General features: G+C 37.0%; 1 protein-coding gene across 6 annotated transcripts in view, besides 2 other annotated features; it reads right to left on the bottom strand.

Annotated features, from left to right (window-relative positions):
- Positions 1-222: 222 nt before the first annotated feature.
- LRRC7 (leucine rich repeat containing 7) overlaps positions 223-23,684 on the bottom strand; it is a 576,443-nt gene continuing 552,981 nt past the window's right edge. For all 6 annotated transcript variants that reach the window (NM_001330635.3, NM_001366839.3, NM_001370785.2 and 3 more), the window contains one exon: positions 223-22,807. In NM_001330635.3, the coding sequence (NP_001317564.1) occupies positions 22,700-22,807 (108 nt within the window). In that variant the 3' untranslated portion in view covers positions 223-22,699. The remainder of the gene's footprint in view (positions 22,808-23,684) is intronic.
- Positions 3,322-3,823: an enhancer, noted in NCBI's record as "NANOG hESC enhancer chr1:70606447-70606948 (GRCh37/hg19 assembly coordinates)". NCBI's record gives its function as "activates a minimal SCP1, AML or CMV promoter by ChIP-STARR-seq in primed H9 embryonic stem cells {active_cell/tissue: H9 hESC(primed)}" and the evidence as "EXISTENCE:reporter gene assay evidence [ECO:0000049][PMID:30033119]".
- Positions 10,147-10,441: an enhancer, noted in NCBI's record as "tiled region #9273; HepG2 Activating non-DNase unmatched - State 22:ReprW". NCBI's record gives its function as "activates a minimal TATA promoter and a strong SV40 promoter by Sharpr-MPRA in HepG2 cells {active_cell/tissue: HepG2}" and the evidence as "EXISTENCE:reporter gene assay evidence [ECO:0000049][PMID:27701403]".

Genomic DNA, 23,684 nt, shown 5'->3' with positions numbered 1-23,684 from the left:
GTAATCTCAGCATCTTGGGAGGCTGAGGCAGGAGAATCACTTGAACCCAGGAGGCAGAGGATGACAGAGTGCTGAGATCGCGCCACTCTGTACTCCAGCCTTGGGTAAGAGTGAAACTCCTCCATCTCAAAAAAATAAAAAATAAAAACAAAAACATGCCTTTTTCTTATTACATCTCTGTTGCTGACTACGAGGTCTGCTTTGATAGTAAACAAAAGACACTTTACAATAAGGTGACATTTTATTATTTATACAATAAGGAGACTTTTATGTTATTCAAAACACTTTTTTAAATACTGAAAAAGTTGAGTACACCAAAGCCGAAAAATGGCTCTGCTATACACTGCACAGCATTATTTTAGTCCCTGTATTTTGTATCTGTACAGAAAGCATCTTCAAAATGCATTCTAATCACATTGTACACCTTTACCAATTAGTGTCAGTACATAAAATAAAACTGGAGAATACAGCTTGCATTTGCAAATTAACTGACAGTAATTAATTTCACTGGTTCAGTAAATTTAAAATATAGATTCATAGGACTTCTTTGCACATAAAATGAAGCAGCTTTCAAGGTTGTTATGGTCTCATACTGCAAAAAAACCAGTAAGTACATTCACGATCTATGTTAATAAAGTAGTAAATATGTCTTCATTCAGTTTTATTTACATCAATATGTAGTTCAACTAAAAAGTACTTTTAATTGTGATATAGTAGTCTTTTTAACACATACAAAAATGACAATTTTTTATATATAATTTAAGCTCAAAATCACAATTATCTCAAAATATTAATTACAATACAGCCATTTCAGTTAAACATGTTGTGATTTGATTTTTTTTATAAAATGGTAAAATTGTATTATTAAAGTAAGCAATTTGTTTTGAATTGGCTAGAGTACACCCAAGTAGAAAACCTTAAATGTGAAGAGGTGTTTCCTGCCCCCTCCCACCCGAATTTGTATACAGCCACCTAGGCTAGCAAAGAGACAGAAAAGGCCCCAATTTATAAAGATTAAGCCTCTTTTGCTATACTGCTGTGGCTTGTTGGTTCTTCCATAAAAGCTTTACAAGGGTAGTGTCAATAAACTATGCAGTGAAATGCATGCATTAATATACAATATGTCTATGTAAAATGTCAATGTTTACTATTGCACATTAAAAGGTTCACAAAGACTGCAAAAGAAGTCATAAAGAAGCACTTTCTTTACCAGTCGAATATTGTAAATTTGAAAACGACTTGATAATATAATGGGATTTCTTTGAAATCAGATCCCAATTCAAGTTCTTTCTCTGGCTAAAGGAGCTCTGGTTACTTGGCCTTAAGATGTCACTGTTGTGCTGCACATATGGTAGTGAAGTCAGAGATCATTAAAAAAAAAAAAAAAGTCTAGAGACTCTTCATTTTACTAAAATAGCGACCCAAAGTTGTATCACTGCTTAGGAATTTTTCTTAAACTTACAGAAGAGTGAAATATTTCACTAACTGAATTATATGAGCTGAAATGAGAAAAAGAAAATTTATGTGTGTGTGTTTGGCATATGGGAAAATACAAATTCATATAGGTAGAAGTAGAACTTCTTTATAGAGTAGTAAAAGGATTATGCCCCAAAATAACTGAGGTCAAAAGTAATCAATTATGAAATCGTTTAGGAAAAAATAATTTTCATAGATACTTAGAAAACATCCAAAACATAATATCTAGTATCCTTTTACATATAATTCTTAACAAACCATCTGAAAACCTACCACTGTCTTCCTTCAGAATTGCTTATGTTAGTTTAATATTTCTTTTTTGAATAGAAAGACCCTAGTTCATGTTATGGTTTTCTTATATATAGCTGGTTGGGGGAGCCCTTGGGCAGTTATAAAGTGGAAAAAATAAAACTGTATTATTACTTTCAATAAGCAACAGTAATCTTGCAGTAGTTTCACTTTTTTCAAGGTCTTTTGTGGTGGTCTTTAAAATTTACAAACAGAATTTGGTAGATTTACTTCTAATTTTCCACTAGTAAAAAATTTCTTCTTCATATGAAGACAATGTCATTATCCTTAAGCTTCCTTTAGTCCCTACTGAGTACAAAGAGAAACTTGATTGGCTCTTCAAACAAAAACTATCTGTTTATCTGTCAATTACCTTTCTCTTCATTTCAAACAGAAAATAGGCTTGTGTTTTCAAGGATGAAAGTGTATTTGAGGATGTTAAAGAGAAATGCCCAAACATTATAAAGCCGAAGTATTAAGCATTCATTGCATTCCACTGACGCTAGGTGTCATCAAAGCTAAAACCAAATTTTCTAGAGTAAAACTTACATACAACAGTCCTTACTGACCTGAACCAGATGCCTTTTCCACATTCAAGCCAAATAAGAGTCCTCTGAGTGGAAAGACTACAAGTATTGAAAATAAAAATTATTTCAACAATATATTCTGAAAATTAATGACCTTTCTAGCAGATATGGGAGCTGCTTTATGTTGTCTGCCTGAGAGTTTCATCTTGCTTTTCCTATGGACCGTCCAAAAATATTACATAAGATTTCCTGACTAAATAAGAAATATTCTTTAGTAGAGGGTTGGGGAAGGGTAAGAGGAATGGAGAGATACAAAGAAATACAATGTGATTTCTTTTGTCCATTTGTCAAATGCTTTCGTTAAGCTATTAAAAAGGTCAATTGACCTGCATACCTGGGCATTATTTAACCTCATTATTTTAGCTGTGCAAAACAAATGTGCAAAGAAAAACACCTCCTATTTATGTGTGCCTATACATAGACACAAAACCTGAGTCACCATAAAAGTTTTCAATATAAGAAACCTTTTCTTAATATAGGAAAATAACCTTTAAAGAGCCAAAAATATCTTTGTACAATATAAGCAGCTAACTTTAAAACTTCAGTGTACTTAAGTATCACATATTTTATAAGATCCAGCAAAAAAGGGATCATTTACATTTGATAATTTTCTTAACTATAGCTGAGATAACCACATTTTAATTTCTAACATGTATTTTCATTCCCCTGAATTCATTGATTTTTTTTTTAAAGCACATTCAAATAAGTCCTGTTTAATTTCTGACAAACAGTTCCTGCTTGTTTCTAGATATTGAGGACATAGGAGATTTAGGATTGCTAGGCCTATAATTTAGTGCCAAGCCACAATGGAATTCCAAAGTTCAAAACAAAATATATCATTTTATTAAGAGAAACATTATTTGCAAAAGTATTTGTAGACAGAGTTGGGCCAAAGTCTGCATGAAGCTATTGTCTCATTTGCAGGCTCCCTTTCTACTGACTTAACTCTTAAAAACCCTTTCTTTCTCCATGCTCCATTTCCTTATTTTTCAGTAGGCTTCATACCCTTTTCGTACCTGAACCCTGAATTGTCCCAACTGAATGAAGCTCCCTTGCTCATTTGCAGCCACCAGTTAACAATGTCCTCTTATCTACATCTTTTGTTATCTCTTCCTCTTTATGAGCTTAGAACTCTGGGATGACTCCTTGGCCTCTCCTCCTGTGCCACTTAACTACTCATTAGAGGAAAATCTGCTTGAGTGTTCCATTGCCTTATTAGTCACTGATTTAAGGCTCAATTCAGGACATACTTATTCCCTGGGCTACACCTCAGTTGCGAACTGAGGAAAGTTGTTTATAGAAAAATGACTGAAAGTTGCTTCTCGATGCTGCTCCCAGTGGTCCTTGTCATTAATTATGCATTTATGTCAGTTAAGTCACTGACACTTAGGGAGAAGGGAAAGCCATCTGAACCAAAATATTCAGTCTTTGTGGCTGTGATTGGATAGGAGGGCCTTTGAATACTTGTATCAGTAAAGAGATACTGGGCAGGGCCCTTGAATGCTTTTTTTCTCAAGCCTGGTTTGGGAATAAGGTGGAAAATGCATGCAAGAGAGTAAAGGATTAGAGGCATTAGCCAAGGGAACTGTAGTCAATTCCTGACTTTTTATATTATACTTGCCTGAGGATCACCAGAAGGATTTTGTCTTGTGCAGAAGGCTAAAAGCAGAGTCATACTTTCTCTGCCAACAGACTTGTTGCCATGGGAACCAGTGCAGAAAAATGAAAATATGACAAGAAGCCAAGGATTAAATGTAGAAAATTGATAGGGAGTTGATTTCTACATGGCAATTTAAGCATTGAGGATTTAAAGAAACAGGATGTTCCTTATGTGGCCAGATCAATGAAAATGGACAAAATGACTTACCAGTAGCTGGTCCTAGGGGGCTGAGGTGTGGAAAATGGAAGGAGAAAGTAGTAAGCGTGCTGTAGTTTGGATAAGGGGAACTTTGTAAAATCTAATTCCACTCCTGATGAGGTTAAGCTTGCAGCCCAATGTTAAAATTAACTGTAGGATCAAATATACCCTTTGGAAAGGCATGCCCATGCTTAGCTTGATAAAAGCAGCCTGATGTAACAATTTTCTTTTCACCTTTCCAAAACCAGCACATACTACTCGACAAGATTATTGCACATCTAGTTTATTATTGCTTGATGTATCTTTTCAATTACTCCAACACACAAAAAAACGAAAAAACCCACCATTTGCAAATCTATGCCTCCCTTCCCCCAATAAGGCAGCTATTGTAAGTACCCTAGAATTAAGTTTCTCATTAAGGAAATAATTATTTTACTTCATGTGATACAAGTCCTCCCTGTGTACCCTTCTCTGTCATTCAGTACTTAATAATAAACTGATCAAACCAGACTGTAGGAGTCCAGGAAAACCTTTAACAAGGATTTGGAGTTTCAGCATAATCTGAGAAGGACCTACATGTTGTATTTTCAAAGGCTCTAAGGAGACTGTACCTGCCGTGTCTCCGAAGCTTTCCTGAAAACCTACAATTAATGTCTCATTCCTATGACTTCAGCTTTGGCCTATTTTGAAATGCAGTTGCTCTAAGGAGATGTAGGAAGGTCACCCTGTAAAGGATTTGATTTAACCCTTCCTGCAGAGCTAGTTTTCAAATAGTAATGGCACACTTCACCTGATGTCCTCTTCTTCCCTCACCCACAAAGGAAAAACTAAAAACATAACGTCCACCTGGGCAATGGGTAGGGCTAGAGGCCAGGAAGTAGGAGACAAGCCATTATAGCATAGTTGTCTTTAGGGTACATCTGAATCCAAATGGTCTGAATAAAATATGCTCTTTGTGCAGTGTTACGTACACTGGACAGATTTCACTAGACATGCTTGTTTTCTTTCTCACTTATGACTTCTGGATCTATTTGTTAGAGTTCATTACTGAAGCCTTTGACAATCTCAATGAGTTCTTGAAATGTCAAAAGCTCGTTAATTTCCTTTATCCCAAGAGTACTTAATTCTGAATCTGAATTCTGAAATCCAATAAAACGCCTGAATGTTCTATCACTTGCTGTTTGATAGTACATGCAGGACCCTAAACAGAGGTTTGAATACTGAGATACTGCTGACACAGAATTCCTTATATCAATATTCTAGTGACTTTTAGGATTGGAGACTTGTGGGCTTGGTTTTTGCAGTAGGAAGCATTAGAATAACCTGATGCAGGACTAATTGAAGCTACATAAAGCATTGCTTTTTCCTAAAGGCAGGTAGGCAGATCTCTTTCTCCGATAGGCAAATAAAACATAATAGGGTCTTCACGAGCAGCTATGCCTTTGAATTTAACATATGATAGAGACTGCTGCTTTTCATTTCTAATATGGTCTCTTTAAAATCAGGTAGCTGATGCCTGGAGGAAGACTAGCTGGTCAGGATTAAACTAAAAATGATTAGCTTTTTCTGTGACCTGGCACTGATCTTCTCACTGGTAGATCATACCTTGGACAAACGAGCTCCTCCACACAGAAAGGCCACCAGATACTACTGTATTTAATGGTTTTACTACATCTATGCATTCTTCTGGTAAGAATCTAAAATAGTTTAAAAAATCTCATAGGGTATTGAGAATTTAAATTTGGCTCCTTAAAAATTTTGAAACAATTTGATTAATCCTCTCAACTTTCTATGAGGTTGTACAAATGATTATTTGCTATATCATGTACCTTAAAGAGTTAATAGACATAACTTCTGTAGTTTTCCTTAGTTTATCATATAGCTCAGTCACAAAAGGACCAATATCCCTCATTTTAGAATATTTATTGCTTTCTACTACCACAAGTATTTGGAATTTTAAAAAAAGACTTTTAAGTAGAATAATGATGTCTGTGTAGTAGGCATTATGCTTTACAGAACTGATCTTTTTTAAAAGGTGGCTTCTCCATGTTGACAACTGAATATACAAAGATACAGAGCTTTTTTTTCAATACCTTTCAACCTGGATCTCCAGTAATATGCCCAAACTGGTACTTGAAGGTCAGGAGTCCTTTGATTAAGTATTTAAAGGCACAATCTCCATTTTCAAATGTAAGCATGCTGCACAATCCATCACATATTTTTAATCAATTCACATTTTCTAAGTTGATGCGCAATGACACTAAGTTTCTACAAGGAAAAACCAAACACTTCATCACAAAATGGCAGCTAATTTTCCAGACCATAACTGAATTCATACACTTTTTGAACTCAACTTTATTATACAGTCGCTGTTCTACATCTAGGCTAATCCTGAGTGAAAAATCTTTGATTTTAACCTCAAAGAGCAAGCAAAAACTCTGGGATTTTGTTGGAAATAAAGCCATATGGACTATTAATATTCTCTTGCTGGTGTAATGTAATCTCTAAAGAGATTCTTCCCTTAGAATAAGTTGTAAGGATTTAGATGGCTATACTTCTTAGTGCTTAGAGAGGCTGCTAGGGCAGCTGAAATTGTCAACATTGGAGAACTCTTAATTGAAGGCTCTGGCTGGATAGGCCATGTCAGCATTTCAGCTGTCTGTCTAAATGACATGCATGAGACTTGATCTATGTCTGCATAGTTCCAGGCATTCTTTAGTTTTTATACTTCCTAGAAAATTTTATCTCAGGGGCTGTTCAAGTTGCATTTCTTACTGAACTCTGGTGGGTCTATTAGGTACTTAAACACAAAGCAACCCCCAGTGGTGGAGTGTTTGCTAACAGTAAAGACTAATGTTTTCCTTGTATGTAGGTACATGATAAGTGTTAAAGATATGCAAGTCCACCAGATGTACGTACATTTTTCTTAGGTGTCTAAAACACAAAAGAATTATTTTAAAGCTTTCAAGGGTCACTAAAGGTTAACTTCTCTTCTTCCCTCAGATTGATCCCTTTAAGTGGAACAGTAAGCCTTTGTTATCAAGCCTTAAGATGAAGTTCCTTCCTCCAGAAAGGAGGAGCTGCCCTTGATTCCAGCAAGCCCCCTCTGACTTTGACCCAAAAGGGTTACTCCTTGGAAAGACAGAGTCAAGAAAAGTGAAAAGCTGGAGCTTAGCTAACCTGTGACTATCTCTCCGTGATATGATTTATTCAGGATGATACTGCAGTTATTTACGTCCCCACTGTCACCTGAGCCTTGTCCTTTTTGACAAGATACATATATACAAGGGACAAGAACTTTCCTTCCTGAGATAACAGAAAACGTTCCTTGGGTCATATTATAAAAGCAATAGAGCCGAGGATGGTGGCTCATGCCTATCATCCCAGCACTTTGGGAGGCTGAGGTGGGAGGATCACTTGAGCTCAGGAGTTCGAGACCAGCCTGGGCAACATAGCAAGACTCTGTCTCTGCAAAAAATAAAAAATTAGCCAGGAGTGGTGGTGCATGCCTATAGTCCCAGCTACTCAGGAGGCTGAGGTGGATCACTTGAGCCCAGGTGGTCAAGGCTGCAGTGGGCCATGATCATGCCACTGCACTCCAACCTGGGTGACAGAGCAAGACCCTGTCTCAGAAAAAAAAAAAAAAAAAAAAAAAAGGCATTAAAAAAGCAATAAAGCAGAAAGAAAGCATTTGCCATTTTATTAAACTGTGAGAGAAGGTGACAATACAGTGTTCTTTCCTCATATTTTGTACCTACACGATAGCATTTATTAGACTTTTTGTGTGTCTCCCCACTAGACTGTGTTTCTTGAGGGGTAGGACCATGGCTTATTTATATCTTCCATTGTTCTTATAATAGAATTTTGAACATAACCCCTTGTTCATTAACATTTGTTGATTAAATTGAATGCACAGTGAGAAAAAGGCAAATTGTTTTAACAGTTAAATAATTTTTTAAAAAAGGATAAACATATAGATTGGCTAGAGGACAAACCTTAGAATGGTCCGGAGGCAGACTTACAAGAGAATTACTTAAACATCTCTCGATTCAAACCTACAGGTCTGGATGAATACTCAAAATATAAGTATATATTTTGGGGTATAGGTGAACCTGCGGGGCATATTTATGGCAAGACCAAGCAAAAGAAGAAAATATAGTCCCTTCACTTTGAGTAGTTTATGATGACCTAGGGCCCTAGGTGACAGGGATAGTAACTATCATTTTTTGGGAAACGTGGAAATGCAAAAAAAAAAAAAATTGCCTGATAAGATATATAGACACACACACACACACACACACAGACACACACACAGACACACACAGAGAGAGAGAGATATTAATTCCCAAGTTTGAATTTCTCTGGGAAATGGCCACAAAGAAATGCCTGAACTGTTTGCTAGCAACATTCATGGTTTTATAAAGAATATAGCAGTGATGTCCTGCTAGAATATCTGTCTTGATCATAATGAGACTGTGAGAACCTATCAAGTGCAAGATACCCGTTGCTTAGTCAAACGATTCTACAAGTATGGCTGAAGATTTATATCCCAAAACTGGCTATCAAAGATGGCTGGTTTAAAACAATCAAGACAGTATAGACAAATATTACAGGGCAAGAATAGTTTGGATGATGATATCCTAGAGAAAAAATCACTTTTAGAGAATGGGACTTGTTCACTATCTAACAACTTTCTCTTTTACAGATTCTAGCTTAATGATCATCAATAAAAGTGAAGTCTTGAATATGATGGATATTCACTTATTTGTCAGGGAGGTGACACAGTTGGACAAGCAGCACCCTTGGAGTCGGGGTTGGGGAGGAGTGCGTGAGATGTTTCAAAAGGATCTCAGTGCATTTTAAGTGACAGCTTCTCCTGCTCTCTTCTCTTCCCACAGCTGCTGGGGGTCCTGCACCCCAACCCAGCCTAGATGATATTTCCATTTGTTGTACCTAAAAGCAGAGCTTTTTACATCTTTACATCTTTACCTCATGACAGAACTAAAAAAATGATGTTTGTTCTACAGTATGGCACGGAGATGGGTAAAAAAGTGAAAAGAATAAGCCACAAGCCCCCGTGCTTTGAGGAGATGATCATAGCCTGCTCCTGGGGAACTATGCTAGTGGCTGGATAGCAAGCACTGACCTAGAGGTTGCTCCTAGGAATAAAAAATTAAGATTATCCATAGAAGACAAAGAAAAAAATACTTCGCTAATAGTGGATACCAAAAATCTGAGGTAGTGCAAAAGAAAAGAAAGGAAAAAAGAAATAAAAAGCGCAACTGGAATACATACATACAAACTTTCAAGACGTTTTCTCTTATACTCTTCAGTAAAATTCTATGTAATTTTCATTCTAGTATTTAAATAGTTCTGGATTTTACAACTAAACCTATCATTAAAAGGTTATGGAAAATAGAAGGAATAAAAAAGATGAAATAGAACATCAGGCAAATCAAAAACTCAAAAGCTGTATCCAAAACAATGGTGGACACCTGCCGTATTTGCTTTAAAATGGGTGGCACTGTTGTGTACAATTTAAATTTGTTAAGGAGATATTTAACTTCTCTGAAAAGAGAGGAAGAACACTTGGTAAACAAACCCAAAATGGTGCACTAAAATTGGCAGGCTTGAGGTCAGAAAGAACTTACAAAATATTAACCCCCAAAGAAGGTTAAATTGAATTTGCTAAGAAAGAGTATTCTGTATTAGTATCTGGTGATCATGTGGCTAGAAGGAAATTGTTTTTTTTGGAGGAAAACACCAGAGGATATAAATGGCTTCACATAAACTTTGGGAAAGAACACCTTGTCTTCCCTCTACCTTTGCTCCGGGTTGGAAGAAAAAAAGATTAAATGGTTGGCAGGGGAACACCTGAAACCCATATAAGTAGGGCTTTGATGGAATTAGCAAAGAAGAAGCTCAGACCAGGAGGCTGGCTAAGCTGTGAGGGTGAGGATATAATTAGCTTAGAGGAAGTAAACAAAAACATTTGGCCTTTTTAGCAATGATCCAGCCATCAGAGGCCCTGGAATTTCAAATGACTAAGAAGAACCAAAATAGCTTGAGGACACATGTCACCAAGGCCGCCAGGGGTTCTCTGCCTTCAGCACCCAGATATTCCCACTGAAAGGAGAGAGGCTGGGGAGATTGCAAACTACCTTGGGAATCCAATGATCACTTTGTGAGAGACATTTTGAAATACATTTCGAAATACATTTCTTATTCACTTCATAATAAAATAAAATCTGATTGTCATATTATGCTGATTACTCATACACATAAATAAAATGAAAAATTAGGCGTTTATTGTAGATGCCTAGTTATTGCCAGATGGAAATAAAGCTATACCCAGATGCACACATATTCAGATTGGACTAGTTTTAGAATTACATAAAGAAGGCTAGGCAAACTTAACCACAGTTCCTGATGTTTAAGTTTTGGAAAGTTAACTTTAAAAATAAATTTTGAGTAACTTGAGACAAATCTATTCCCACATACTTGGAATGGGCATACCTGAAGGAAGTGTGGCTAAAATAATGGGAGATAGGAGCAAAATATTTGGAAAACACAAGTTAGAGAAGAACTATTAAACTGGTGGGTATAATAATTAAACTGAACAATTAAGGAACATCAAAACTTTAAACAATCAAGCCTCACTGAGAAAGTGGTTTCTGTCTCATTAGGTTTTGGGTGATTGATACAATCTGAGAGGTTTAGTAAAAAAACATATAAACTGCCTAAAATAAGCTCAAAGCTCTTGTTTTTTTCTTAAATTGTGTAAATTTAGAGCATTGTTTCAAATTTTCTCAAAGGAGAAAGGAAAGGGGTGTTGTTAGCAATTGTATCAGCACAAGGGGCATAAAAACAGACTGTGTAAGGCCATCCCAGCACTTTGGGAGGCCGAGGCGGTCGGATCGATAGAGCCCAGGTGTTCAAGACCAGCCTGGGCAACATGGAGAAAACCTGTCTTTACTAAAAATACAAAAATTAGCCGGGCGTGGTGGTGCATGCCTGTAGTCCCAGCTACTCGGGAGGCTGAGGCAGGAAAATCGTTTGAACCCAGGAGGTGGAGGTTGCAGTGAGCCGAGATCGCGCCACTGCACTCCAGCCTGGGCGACAGAGCGACACTGTCTCAATACAAACAAACAAAAAACACCCACGACAACAACAAAAATCGGACTGTGCTCCCCCAAGCCAGAGAATTGCCAAGGCTGGGATTTAAAATGTAGATATGAGGTCTCCATCTAGTGGTGGCTCTTCTGAACTGCAGACACATGTTTCTTTAAAAGAGTATGCGGATGTGTACAACTAAATATGAGGATAGTATTTGTCAGAGTTGAACGCAGTAATTTAAACTAGAGGATTTTATTGAGATGAAACACAATTTGTTGCTTTATAAGGGTGGGTTACAGAGGGAAATGTTCACCCCTTCGCTCCAGGAATTTAAGAATAGCATGAATCCTTCCCTGAAGATAGACAAATGAACCAGATCCTCTCAAGGTCCCTTTCTGTCTTATGATAGGACAATAATTTTGCTCCTTTCTCCACAGAGCTTTTACCTGTAGCCACACTGTCTGACATTAGTCTTTATTTAAGAAAAGTACGGCCGGGCGCGGTGTCTCACGCCTGTAATCCCCGTACTTTGGGAGTCCGAGGCAGGTGGATCACGAGGTCAGGAGTTCAAGACCAACCTGGCCAAGAAGGTGAAACTCCGTCTCTACTAAAAATACAAAAAATTAGCCGGGTGCAGTGGCAGGCGCCTGTAATCCCAGCTACTCGGGAGGCTGAGGCAGGAGAATCGCTTGAACTCGGAGGGCGGAGGTTGCAGTAAGCTGAGATCGTGCCACTGCACTCCAGCCTCCAGCCTGATGACAGAGTGAGACTCCGTCTCAAAAAAAAAAAAAAAAAAAAAAAAAAGAAAAGAAAAGAAAAGAAAAAAGAAAAGTACTCTGGTAATTTTTAAAAATGAGATAACTTTTTTCCTTGTTCTGAGAAGTTGTATGACTAAAGCATTACCTATGACGTTAGACAAAAATAGTTTCTAGAAATGAATAGCAATTAAACTAAATATATTTCTAATATGCACCTTATTTTTCACTGTAAATTCTTCTTTTGACATCTGGAAGAGCAGGAGGGAAGGCAGAAACCAAGAAGAGCTGAACGATTACTCCTCTGGCCAAGAGAGAGCAGAGAGAGAGGAAGGGAATTCAGGGCTGTCTGAAGAAGGGGCATGGTCACCAGAACGAAGAGACTGGAGGATATGCCTGAATCTGATTTCTTTTATCCAGTTCCTCTCTGATTCTCTGTATCAGTCCTCTATTGCCCTTCTTTTGTCTTTCTCATTCTTTCTTCCTTAATAACTTATTAATTCCCCTCTTTCCCAGCCCTAGTCTGTTCTTGTTCCTTACTCACTCATTATTCTCATTATTCTAAAATGCTCTTACTTAAAAATATTTCATTAAAGTACTCTTACTATTCTAAAATATTCTTACTATCCTAAGATAATGTCACTCTCTCAATTAATATTTCACTTTTCCAGTTCATTTTTCATTTATTTTTGTTCAAAGAGACATTGGCATTCTTTTACCCATGTAAATGTATAGACACTGGGCTATAAGATACCAAAGAGTAGGCCCCTGGAGAGTTTGAGGCATCATGCTATCAAAGACAGCAATGGTGGCTGTTTCCTTCAAGATATACTATGACTTTATCTAAATCTTTCTAAATCAAAAATTTTATGAGAAGAAGACATAATTAACTTGATAGTTATCAAGTTCTCTTTATACAAAGAAATTAAAAAGCAGAGGTAGAATAAGAGTAATTAATATTAATAGTATAAGTAAAAGAGTCAATGACAAAACATTTAATGTTTCGGAATATTTCACTCAATTCTGGAGTTACTTAGCTATGAAACCCAAATAGAAAGACATGGGAAATAGTTTTGTGAGAAAGCTAGGACAGAAATGTTTTACTTGAAAGGAAATTAAGGTCCCATGAGGTAATAAAGGGATTGTGGTTAGGAGCTTACCAACCTGGGGGTCTTAGATATCATTAGATTCCCAGTTAGATATCATTTTTGTTTTAAGGGGCTGGATTCCATTTTTTGTCCCTTCAGGGGAAGGATCTAATGAAGCCAAAGATCATGGCAGTATAAATAGCATGCTTTCTTTCTACTTTGAGATCAACAGGCCAGATTCTATCTCTATAAAAGTTTGGGAGGGGTAACATGGTTTTGTCAAGGTAACCCTGATTTTTTTTCTGTGCTCTATCTAAATAGTTAATCATATCAATTATATAGCTTTTACAGTGGCTTGATAATTTTGGCTGAACTATATGACATCTTCACTTTAGGGATATAGGGGGTGGGATCTATTCATGAAATGATGCCAAAATGCAGTGTGTAAACATTGTCATGCTCAACTGTGGCCAACAGCCTGTAGACAGACTATTCTTTTATCTACTTAAAGGACGGGCAGCATTTGGCAGCAGTTTGATTAAAATTTAGAGCTAAATAGGTAGGTGGAGACCCCTTTCTCTCAACTACACTTCCGTAGCCTCGTCTCTCTCATGACATCTTTTATTCTTCCCTCCACATCCAAATTGTAAAAATTGCTTAGGTAACGTAATCTAGTGACAATGTGCATGACTTCTTCTCAAAGAGAAAGGAAACCCAATCAAATCAAAAGGATAGATATGGTGTGCTCCAATTAAATAAAAGCCACTTCTTAAACTTTTTGAATGGTGTTACTTTTTGGATAGTGTTAAGGTCCTTAGAACACACAAAAGGAAAATTAAATGTAACTGCTGAAACACAGCAGAAAAGACCAAAAATGTCTTAGAAAAAATGCTGAAGAGAGGAGGAAGACTGATTTAAAAAGGAGAAATTTTTTTTAACTGGGAATTTTGAGTCAACTGAGAAGATGAAAGGTTGGTAGTTTAAGGTTACACAAACTGAAGATCAATTTGCTGTTTAGTTCAATATTTATAAAGTGCACTATGTGCCAGGCCTGTCATCCACTTAATAATTACACAAATATTTATTGAGAACCTATACTATGTTTCTGACACTATGACAGGCATTAAGGATATATGGTAAACAAAACATCTGGTCATTTTACCTCTCCTGAGGCTCTTCTGTCTAGAAGTCCTTTGTTAAGTATTGTCTGATCCTCTCTCTCAAAAAGCTTAAAGTTCATAGGAAAAACAAACACCAAATAGCTATGATCTCAGGCAGAATGGGAAAGATACTAAAAAACATAAGAAAAAATTAATATGGTAGTGCTGAGTACAGAAATTTTTTTCCATGAAGACTAGGGAGGGTTTCATGGTTCTAGTGCTGTTTGAGCTGGGCTCTGAAGGCTGCATATGATTTTAATAATTTAGAAAGGGAATAGGGAGAGGAAGGCATTCCAGTAGAGGGATAGTGTGGGCAAAAGCTGAAATATAAAACACAGCGAATACTTGGAAAAGTAAGGATTTATATGTGTCTAAAACACTGAGTATGCATAGGGTGAAGAAAAGAAAACAATTTCCAGATTCAGAGGATCAGAACTCCTTAGAAGAATAGATGTTGATGATACATGGTATGTGTGATCCAATCTCATGCAAACAGTATTTTCAGGGGATCACTTGAGCAGCGTGTAGTGAAAATGTTCTCCACCCAAAAAGTGAAGTAAATAAACATGAAATGCAGCCAGCTGAATGATTGTTCAACTCCTTGCATTTCGGAGTGGGTCATTCTAACATTGGACAGCATGGATTCCCACGCTCCCTGACAGTGGTCATAGGAGGGACTTTTTGGGGCCGCTGAACCTAGAAGACTCTTTTCAAGCAACCCCCCCACACTTTTTAAAGTGTTGAATTCCATCTCCTTCTCCCGTAACGTCAGGGGCATACAGACTCAGTGCTGGACCAAGTTGAGGAACACCTTTCTTCATTTCCTTTCCTCTTTAGAACAAATTGGCAAAATTCTCGCTCCTCTTCCAGAGATTCAAGAGATTCTGGTTGCTATTTATCTTGTCTAGCAAGGCATTCACACTTGCCACGTTTAGCCTATCAAATGTTGCCCTAAATCCTGGCAAATATTCATCTAGCTCACACTTTTCGTGACACTTTTTTTTTTTTTTTTAAGATGGAGTCTCACTCTGTCACCCAGGCTGGAGAGCTGTGGCGCCATCTCAGCTCACTGCAACCTCCGCCTGCTGGGTTGAAGCAATTCTCCTGCCTCAGCCTCCCCAGTAACTAGGATTACAGGTGCGCGCCACAATGCCCGGCTAATTTTTCATATTTTTAGTAGAGATGAGGTTTCAGCATGTTGGTCAGGCTGGTATCCAATTCCTGACCTCAAGTGATCCACCTGCCTCGGCCTCCCTAAGTGCTGGGATTACAGGCATAAGTCACCGCACCCGGCTTCGTGACACTCTTTATGTGAGCTGTGTGAAGGTCACAAGAACCAGCAGAAGACCTATCTGTAGCTCCAAATGGAAAAAACCATGCTCAAACTGAAACAGATTTGACTAGATAAAGACTCGATTTCCTTTTGCAATAGGATGGTTGAGGGCAGGAATAAAGGGACTCACCACATTGCCTTGTACTGTCTTTGATGTGGAACTTCTCTCATCTTTCCTCTGGACTGTGAGATTCTGTGCTGAGGGGACCACATTACATCCCTCATAGTACCTGATATGTAGTTGATGCCCAACAAATATTTATTTTAATATTTATAATCATAATATTTAATGTTTTTGTTATATTCTTCAATGAAATGTCTCCAAATGTTTTCAGTTTATGAATAATATACTTTAGGCCTCAGAGATTCAGCTACAGTAAATGTTTTCCTGTGGAGGAAGTACAAGAGTTTGCTATGAAAATAAAGTTCCCTGTACTAAGATACTTTACTCTGGATGTAAAGATACTTGGCTATTTGTTAGGCTGCTTATTCAACCTGTTATTTTAAAGAAGGAAAAAAAATAAGCACAAACAATACACTTGTGCAACAGTGATAAAAAAATACACTTTCAAAACTAGAGAAAGATTGGGTGATTCATTTAACTTTCTTTCAACACCAATTTCTACACCCAGTGAAATCTATGCTAGCTTAAAGAATGAAAAAATGCTGGGCACAGTGGCTCACGCCTGTAATCCCAGCACTTTGGGAGGTCGAGGCAGGTGGATCTTTTGAGGCCAGGTGTTCGAGACCAGCCTGGCCAACACGGTGAAACCCTGTCCCTACTAAAAATACAAAAATTAGCCCAGTGTGGTGGCACGCACCTGTAATCCCAGCTACTCAGGAGGCTGAGACATGAGAATTGCCTGAACTCGGGAGGTGGAAGTTACAGTGAGCCAAGATAGCGCTACTGCACTCCAGCCTGGGTGACACAGCAAGACTCTGTCTCAAGAAAAAAAAAGAAAGAAAAGAAAAAGTCACATAAAAGTCTTTTTTTCAAAAAAGGAGAAGAGAAAATTATGCCAGGTTTCAAAATCTCACCTGTGGAAATTTGACCCAGACCTTGTCTTTGGGTAGGACTACATAGTGGTTCCAACCGTAGACTAATAAGAGTCATGGAATGTTTACATAAATGCTGCGTGAATTTCACAACCTTCCACCTTTTGAGGTGCTGCCATAACAAAATTAGGCACAAAAGGGGTGTTTTGCAGACAATTTGTGGAAGTATTGACAGAGCTGCAGAGGTATCCTTCTCATTTCTGCATGCCTTAATCCAGGCCCATTTCTTACATTGCTTAGTGCTCAGTGTGTTGTTACAAAGAGCATGAGCTCAGAACCCAACTGGGAAGACTCTACCAGCTGAAGAAATGCCTCTGAAGTTAACCAGTAAATTTTCTCCTCTCTCAGGTCTTTTCTCCTTACTTCCCATAGAACTGTTCTTAGGGAAGGTTGACATAATCACATGGTTAAAATCCCAAGGGACTCAATATTCCTATACTTTAACTGTATGTTTTTAAATAAAAACTTAGAGTAGACTTGCCCCCTCGGTTTTTCAAAAATCTCTGAATTCTCCAAAGTAGAAGCTGTGCAATTTATATCCTTACCAGGGAGTGTTTCCAAACCATTCTCTTGCAGGCAGTGTTGAAAGTAAGGAAGATTGGAACCTGTCTCAGTAAGAAGCTGAGAGGCTTAGAGAAAGTTCCTCAACACAGCAAAACCCAACATTTTAAAAACAGAAGCAGAAACAGTTTTATAAAGGCATTGCCACCCCCACCATTGCACACAGGCTTTGTTTGTTGTTGTCAGTAACATTATAAGCACTCCATCTTTGGGCCTTAGTTAATGCTACTACTCCAGGTTCCTGCGTTACCCAAGAAAGTTCCTCCCAAATTGGGAGCTGTAACCATCTGTTGATACTCAAGGCTCTCCGAACAGCTATCACTCTAAGAGGGTCTCTTATCTGTGTTTCAGCAGGATAGAAGCAGACATCCACTGCCTTTGGAAAAACATGGGGAGTTGGAGGGACGGATCTATAGCAGCAACTGCAGCAATGAAGACAGGTCAGTTTTACACGCTAGAAACAGAAATGCCCCCAGAAGGTTCAGGATATGACTGGAAAACTTGATTGCATCTACCTTAGTTTGTACAAGTGGTGCATCTTGGAAAATAGATTTCCTGAACAGTTTAGATCAAAATGGAGCTGACACTCAGGATCTCCTGTAATAGTGACCCACATGCTTTCTATACATAGCGCACATCTATTTGTCCACAGCCCACATTCTGTTTTCTTGCTATAATGTATTCTTTGGGTATGGTGTTGGTGGGTGATGGGAAATATTCTGAGCCAAGGCAAGATGCTTTTCTTAACAGAAGGTGGTTGTATTGCTAAGGAAAAATGTTCATGCAAGTGATCACCAACCTGGAGATGCCCCCCAAGTCCCAGATGATCAGGTAGCTACAAGTGTGAAGAGAGGACACATTACCAACCCAGAGTTTGAACATTTAGTTAAGCTCAGTAAGATTTAGCATTTCTGTGAAAGGAACTACAGTGGAACTTCAACCCCGCTTTTCTTTATACTAGATAAAGGACCCATCTTCTTAACCTATTGGATTTCATTATTTGCATAACTTTTTATTGACCCAGTGTGCCAATAAACTTGCTGTTTGGTCGGCATATCACAAATTAGTCAAATATGTTGTTTGATCGAATTTATCAAAGACTTTGAGTGGTAGTCCTATTTCAGTATGGCTTTTGACCTGGTTATGTTGTATTCTTGCCTCTTGATGAGAATGTATTCATCAGACATATTTGATCGGTGTGCTAATGAGGGGTAGAAATTGGTTAGGGACAGCGTTAAGACTGTCCTTAACAGTTAGTAAACATACTAAACGGAAAGACAAGGTGGCAAGCACACTACATTTTCCAAAGCTTTACACTGGAAAGCTTAAATATTAATAGATATTAAATATATATTAAATAGATTTTATGATTAAAAATAAAATGGTTTTTTTGGTTTCTTTCATCTAACCATTTTGACAAATTCAGATACTTTTCACTTAATATTTGAATATATAAATCTAATTTCTTCCATGTTTTCTCCCCTCTGAATCTTCTCTTTTTTTTTTTTTTTTTTTTTGAGACGGAGTCTCGCTCTGTCGCCCAGGCTGGAGTGCAGTGGCGGGATCTCGGCTCACTGCAAGCTCCGCCTCCTGGGTTCACGCCATTCTCCTGCCTCAGCCTCCCAAGTAGCTGGGACTACAGGCGCCCGCCACTACGCCCGGCTAATTTTTTGTATTTTTAGTAGAGACGGGGTTTCACCGTTTTAGCTGGGATGGTCTCGATCTCCTGACCTCGTGATCCGCCCGCCTCGGCCTCCCAAAGTGCTGGGATTACAGGCGTGAGCCACCGCGCCCGGCCCTCTCTCTTTAGCTCACCAGTTGAAAGATATGTCAGTCCTATTTTTAAATAAGTAATTACATTAGTGATATGTGTGCAATCATCTTTAAGATTAAGAGCAAATTAACATTGGCTTGTCAGTCTCTCCTCAAAGCTGTTTTCCATCTCAAAGGTCGTGATCCAAGGTAAGGTCCAGAAACAACTGAGATTGTTTTACATCTATGTACTAGGTTGGAACAAAAGTAATTGTGGTTTTTGCCTGCACTTTTAATGGTAAAAACCGCAATTACTTTTTCAGCAACCTAATAATTACAATTCTAAGTAATGGAGATACATATCTTTTATAGGCTTCAATGAGCAATACATTAGCATAATGTTTTATTTCATACTGACTTTGAATATTCCTTGTCAAAAATGCACTTATACTTTGGAGTTACTATGTATGTTTAGGTTACTGTGTTGTCATCAGAAGGCTGGAGTTATCATAGCAGAGCTTTAATGACAAAATATTATGAGCCTTGTAAATAGTTTTAAAAATTGTCCACTAATATCTATTTGTCTTGCAAAATTTGCAATTTTACTAGTAATTTTCATCACTTGCTCTTTCTACCTCTAATGTTTCTCAGTCTCCTCCATTAGATCTTACTGACTTATCACATATAAACACCTTCCTCAGAAACAGTCCAATAAAAATTAAAGACCAAGAGGTAGAATCTACTGGAGCCATCATGAATTCCAGTTCTTTTTGTTGTTATTGATTTTTCTTTTTTTTTTTTAAAAGGCACACCCTTGACTTTTTTTTATTGTTAAAATAACCAGATTCTAATTTCAGGCAGCAAAATCAGTTACTGCAAAAAGTCAATAATCAAAAATCAATGTATAATTGGTTTTCATCACCTATAGAATTAGTGAGGTTTATACCCCTCAAGTGTTTAGTGATTCTATTCAGTCAACCTAAAAAAAATTGCCTCTTTTCTACTTAAATAAATAATTTATTTATTTATTTTGAGACAGAGTTTCGCTCTGTTGCCCAGGCCGGAGTGCAGTGGCACAATCTCAGCTCACTGCAACCTCCGCCTCCCAGGTCAAGCGATTGATTCTCATGCCTCAGCCTCCCAAATAGCTGGGATTATAGGTGCCCGCCACCATGCTCAGCTAATTTTTGTATTTTTAGTAGAGATGGCGTTTCACCATGTTGGCCAGGCTGGTCTTGAACTGACCTCAAGTGATCCGCCCACCTTGGCCTCCCAAAGTGTGGGGATTACTAGTGTGAGCCACCACGCCTGGCCTGCCTGTTTTCATTATTACCTGCCTGTTCTCAGTATGCAACATGGCAGTACTATTGACAGTGAGGTGCTTTGGCATATCAGATAACTTTTCCAGTTGGTCAAGGATCCCTTTTCTCTTTTCCTCATTTCTGAACTGCAGAACAGGAAGTACTAAAGAAGTGGCTCAGGACAATGTTGTCACATCAGGAGTGGCAGAGGTGTTTACTAGGATTATGATCCTTTCAGCTGTGTGTCTTAGAAGGATCTCCTGAAGCCCTGGGTTTGATATAGAAACCATAAGAAAAAGACTTGGGGCAGTTCTATATCTGGCTCTTCTCCCACTTCTCCCATAAAAGATTAAGAAAAACTGATGGGATGATTTCAGATGTTTCATTGCCACCAAACTACAGCCATGAGTTTTTTTTCTTTAAGTGATCTTATGAGGCCAGTAAAGGCCTCTGTCTTGATTAATGATGATCATCCTATAATATCTGGATATGGTGGCTTGACATGAGTTTTCAACAAAGAAAATTAGTCTCTGAAAGACATTTCTCATCTGAAACTCTCAATATATTAAAATGCATTTAAAAGTTACTTCTGGGAAACATACTAAATAGGCCAATCAGTTAATCATTAGCTAATTGTCAAACCCTATAAAATCATGGTATAATGTCACCCTGACATAAAGCAACATCAAAATTAGTGCATCATCTATAAAGTGAAGTATTATTTTCTCCCAAGTGACAAATTCTATTGCCAAAAAATACCACTGTACTTCTAATAAGTGACACTCATTTTAATAGACCCTACAAAAATACAATATTTTCAATGTCCCCATAAAACAGTTAACTTACAAATATTATTCTCAGAGCTCTGGTGACATCATTCAGTGATACTATTGTGAAAATCCTCATACAATACTTGAAACACTAGCATGTAAAGTAAATTCATTATATAACAAAAGAACTATGTAAAATTATGAAAGATAATGCATGCAACCAACTCCGGGAAATTATCCTGGAAATTCAAATTAATATTGTAATTAAATTAATGACTAATATGAAAGATAAGTATTTTAAAGGATTATAAAATAAATTTTGATCATTTATGCAGGAAAATAGTTTCAATGGAAAAGTAAATAATTCTACATTAACCATGCTTGTCTTTCTCTTCAGTGAAAAAGCATTCAGGATTTTACATACCTTGAAACTGTTTTTGGAAAAAAAGTATTTTATCTATTTCTGCCCAGAAAAACAGCCATTGAAATTAATGATACAGGTAGACCACAGCTCTGAGAAATTATATTTGAAGTTTCATATTTAAATACCAAGGATTTAAAATCACCTACCATAACTTTCTAACAGCAGTCTTTCGTAATGATAAATTTTATCAATTTCCAAAATTCGTTTTAAATAATTTAAAAAGCAGCAAATTAGATTAAGCAACACACAAATAAATTCCACATTTACAAGTAAAGAAATCACAGGGGCTACAGTTTATAATCAACATGAACTTGAAAGAAATAAAGCAATACCTTTCCTGCCACCCATCATCCACTGCTTAAATTTGTGGTGAAAAAGACTTAACTACAATGACCTTTAGTCTGTTTCTAAACTCTGCATGTATTGTAATTAGCTAAAGGCATTGAACAAATTAGTTCATCCTATTTTTATTTGGGTCCCAGAGATAAATGGCTAATTTATGAAATATTTCACTCTGTGTCATGAGAATTTAGCAAATGAATATGGAACCAAATATAAACACTTTATACCATATGTACAGTTACTTTCATAAGGCATTATCATGTAATTTTTATTGAAAAAGATTCAATATAGTAAAGTCTTATTTTAAGATATATTTTTTCTCTATCTGAGATGTTTAGTTTATGAAAATATTGTTTTTCTCTATATTCTTTTTGTATATATGCCAACATATACCTTGTGCTAGAAATATTTTATGGGAATTACAATTCTTTATATTTGTATTTTCTATATAAAGGCATATACAACTTTGAGGCAGTGTTTCTGATGGAGAGCAGAATTCATAAAGAGCTTGTGTGTGCTTCCGTGCTCCGAAATTATATGAAATCCATTTTGAGAAGAAACTTATTTGATTAAAAACAAAAACAAAAACAGAAACAAAACTGCACCAATGCACAGCCAGAGGCTGACAATTAAAACTAATACATAACCACATGAACATCATATTTATAGAGTTAACATTTTTTAAGGATGGTCAGTGCTAACATATAGTATTATACATTTGGCACTAATGTTTGCCATTGGTCCAGCAATTGGCAAAATTTGTTTCTATGTATAAATTTATTTTTGAACATTAGGTCTGGCTAGACGTATCTTCACTATTTATAAAAAATATTTAGACAGTAAGCTCACGTTGAATAACTAGGTCTACTGTGTTCTGGAAACTCTTCAGTAGTAATACAGCTTTTTCATGTTCCATATGTACAAAACTGTGTCCATTTGCCTGTAAATACACAAATAAAACAGGGCAATCAATGTAAACTATTATCACTGTATCGTTGTTTCTATTCATAAAATTCACGGGAGCACTGAGCAACAAAAAGTTGTCAGTTTTTATAATTCACAATGGAATCGCAATTATGGAAGTAACTAATTTTATCCAGATTCAACCAAATTTATCAATTCAACAAATATTTATTAAGTACCGATTATGTCTTTGCCACTGTGCTAATCATCAAGATACCCTGGTCAATAACAGATAGATGTACTGGTGACATAGTAGTTCAGTTCCATTGTTGTTGTCCTGATTTGTTTTTGCAGGGGCTGATTAGGGTGGTTTGGAAAGGGGCATATGGCCATTACCTTAGTGTTATATAAACACTAATATAAACTAATCAGCATGACCAAATATTTCAATCATGCCAAACATGACTGGACACTTATAGTACATTTAAATCTTATTTTGACTCACTGGAAAGTTCTTGGTTTATACACTTTTACATTAGAGAAATATTTTTTATTTCCCTTATTGCTAAATGCAAGTATACTTATTATCTATAGGAGTGGTTCTCAATCAATCCAGTATACTTAAGGAATGCGTCCCTTGGGGATAAAACACACTGACATTAGTAACAGAGGACATGTCTGCTGTCTTCTGTTTAAGAATCATTGATATAAGCAATTGATATTCAGTTTAAACATAGCCTAAGGTTACAGTTTCAGAGTTCCATCTGTCTATTATGTGATATTTATGTCACAAAATGTACATTGTTCTCTGTATTGAGTGCTATGGGTCTCTGATTTTCTCTACATTAAGTTGCAGATTGTCTTGATTGGAATGATTTTTATTATTAATACAGAAAGAAGTGTATCCCATAAGC

Source organism: Homo sapiens, chromosome 1 (assembly GCF_000001405.40).
Source record: "Homo sapiens chromosome 1, GRCh38.p14 Primary Assembly".
NCBI lineage: Eukaryota > Metazoa > Chordata > Mammalia > Primates > Hominidae > Homo > Homo sapiens.
This window is presented reverse-complemented; position numbering and strand designations above follow the sequence as displayed.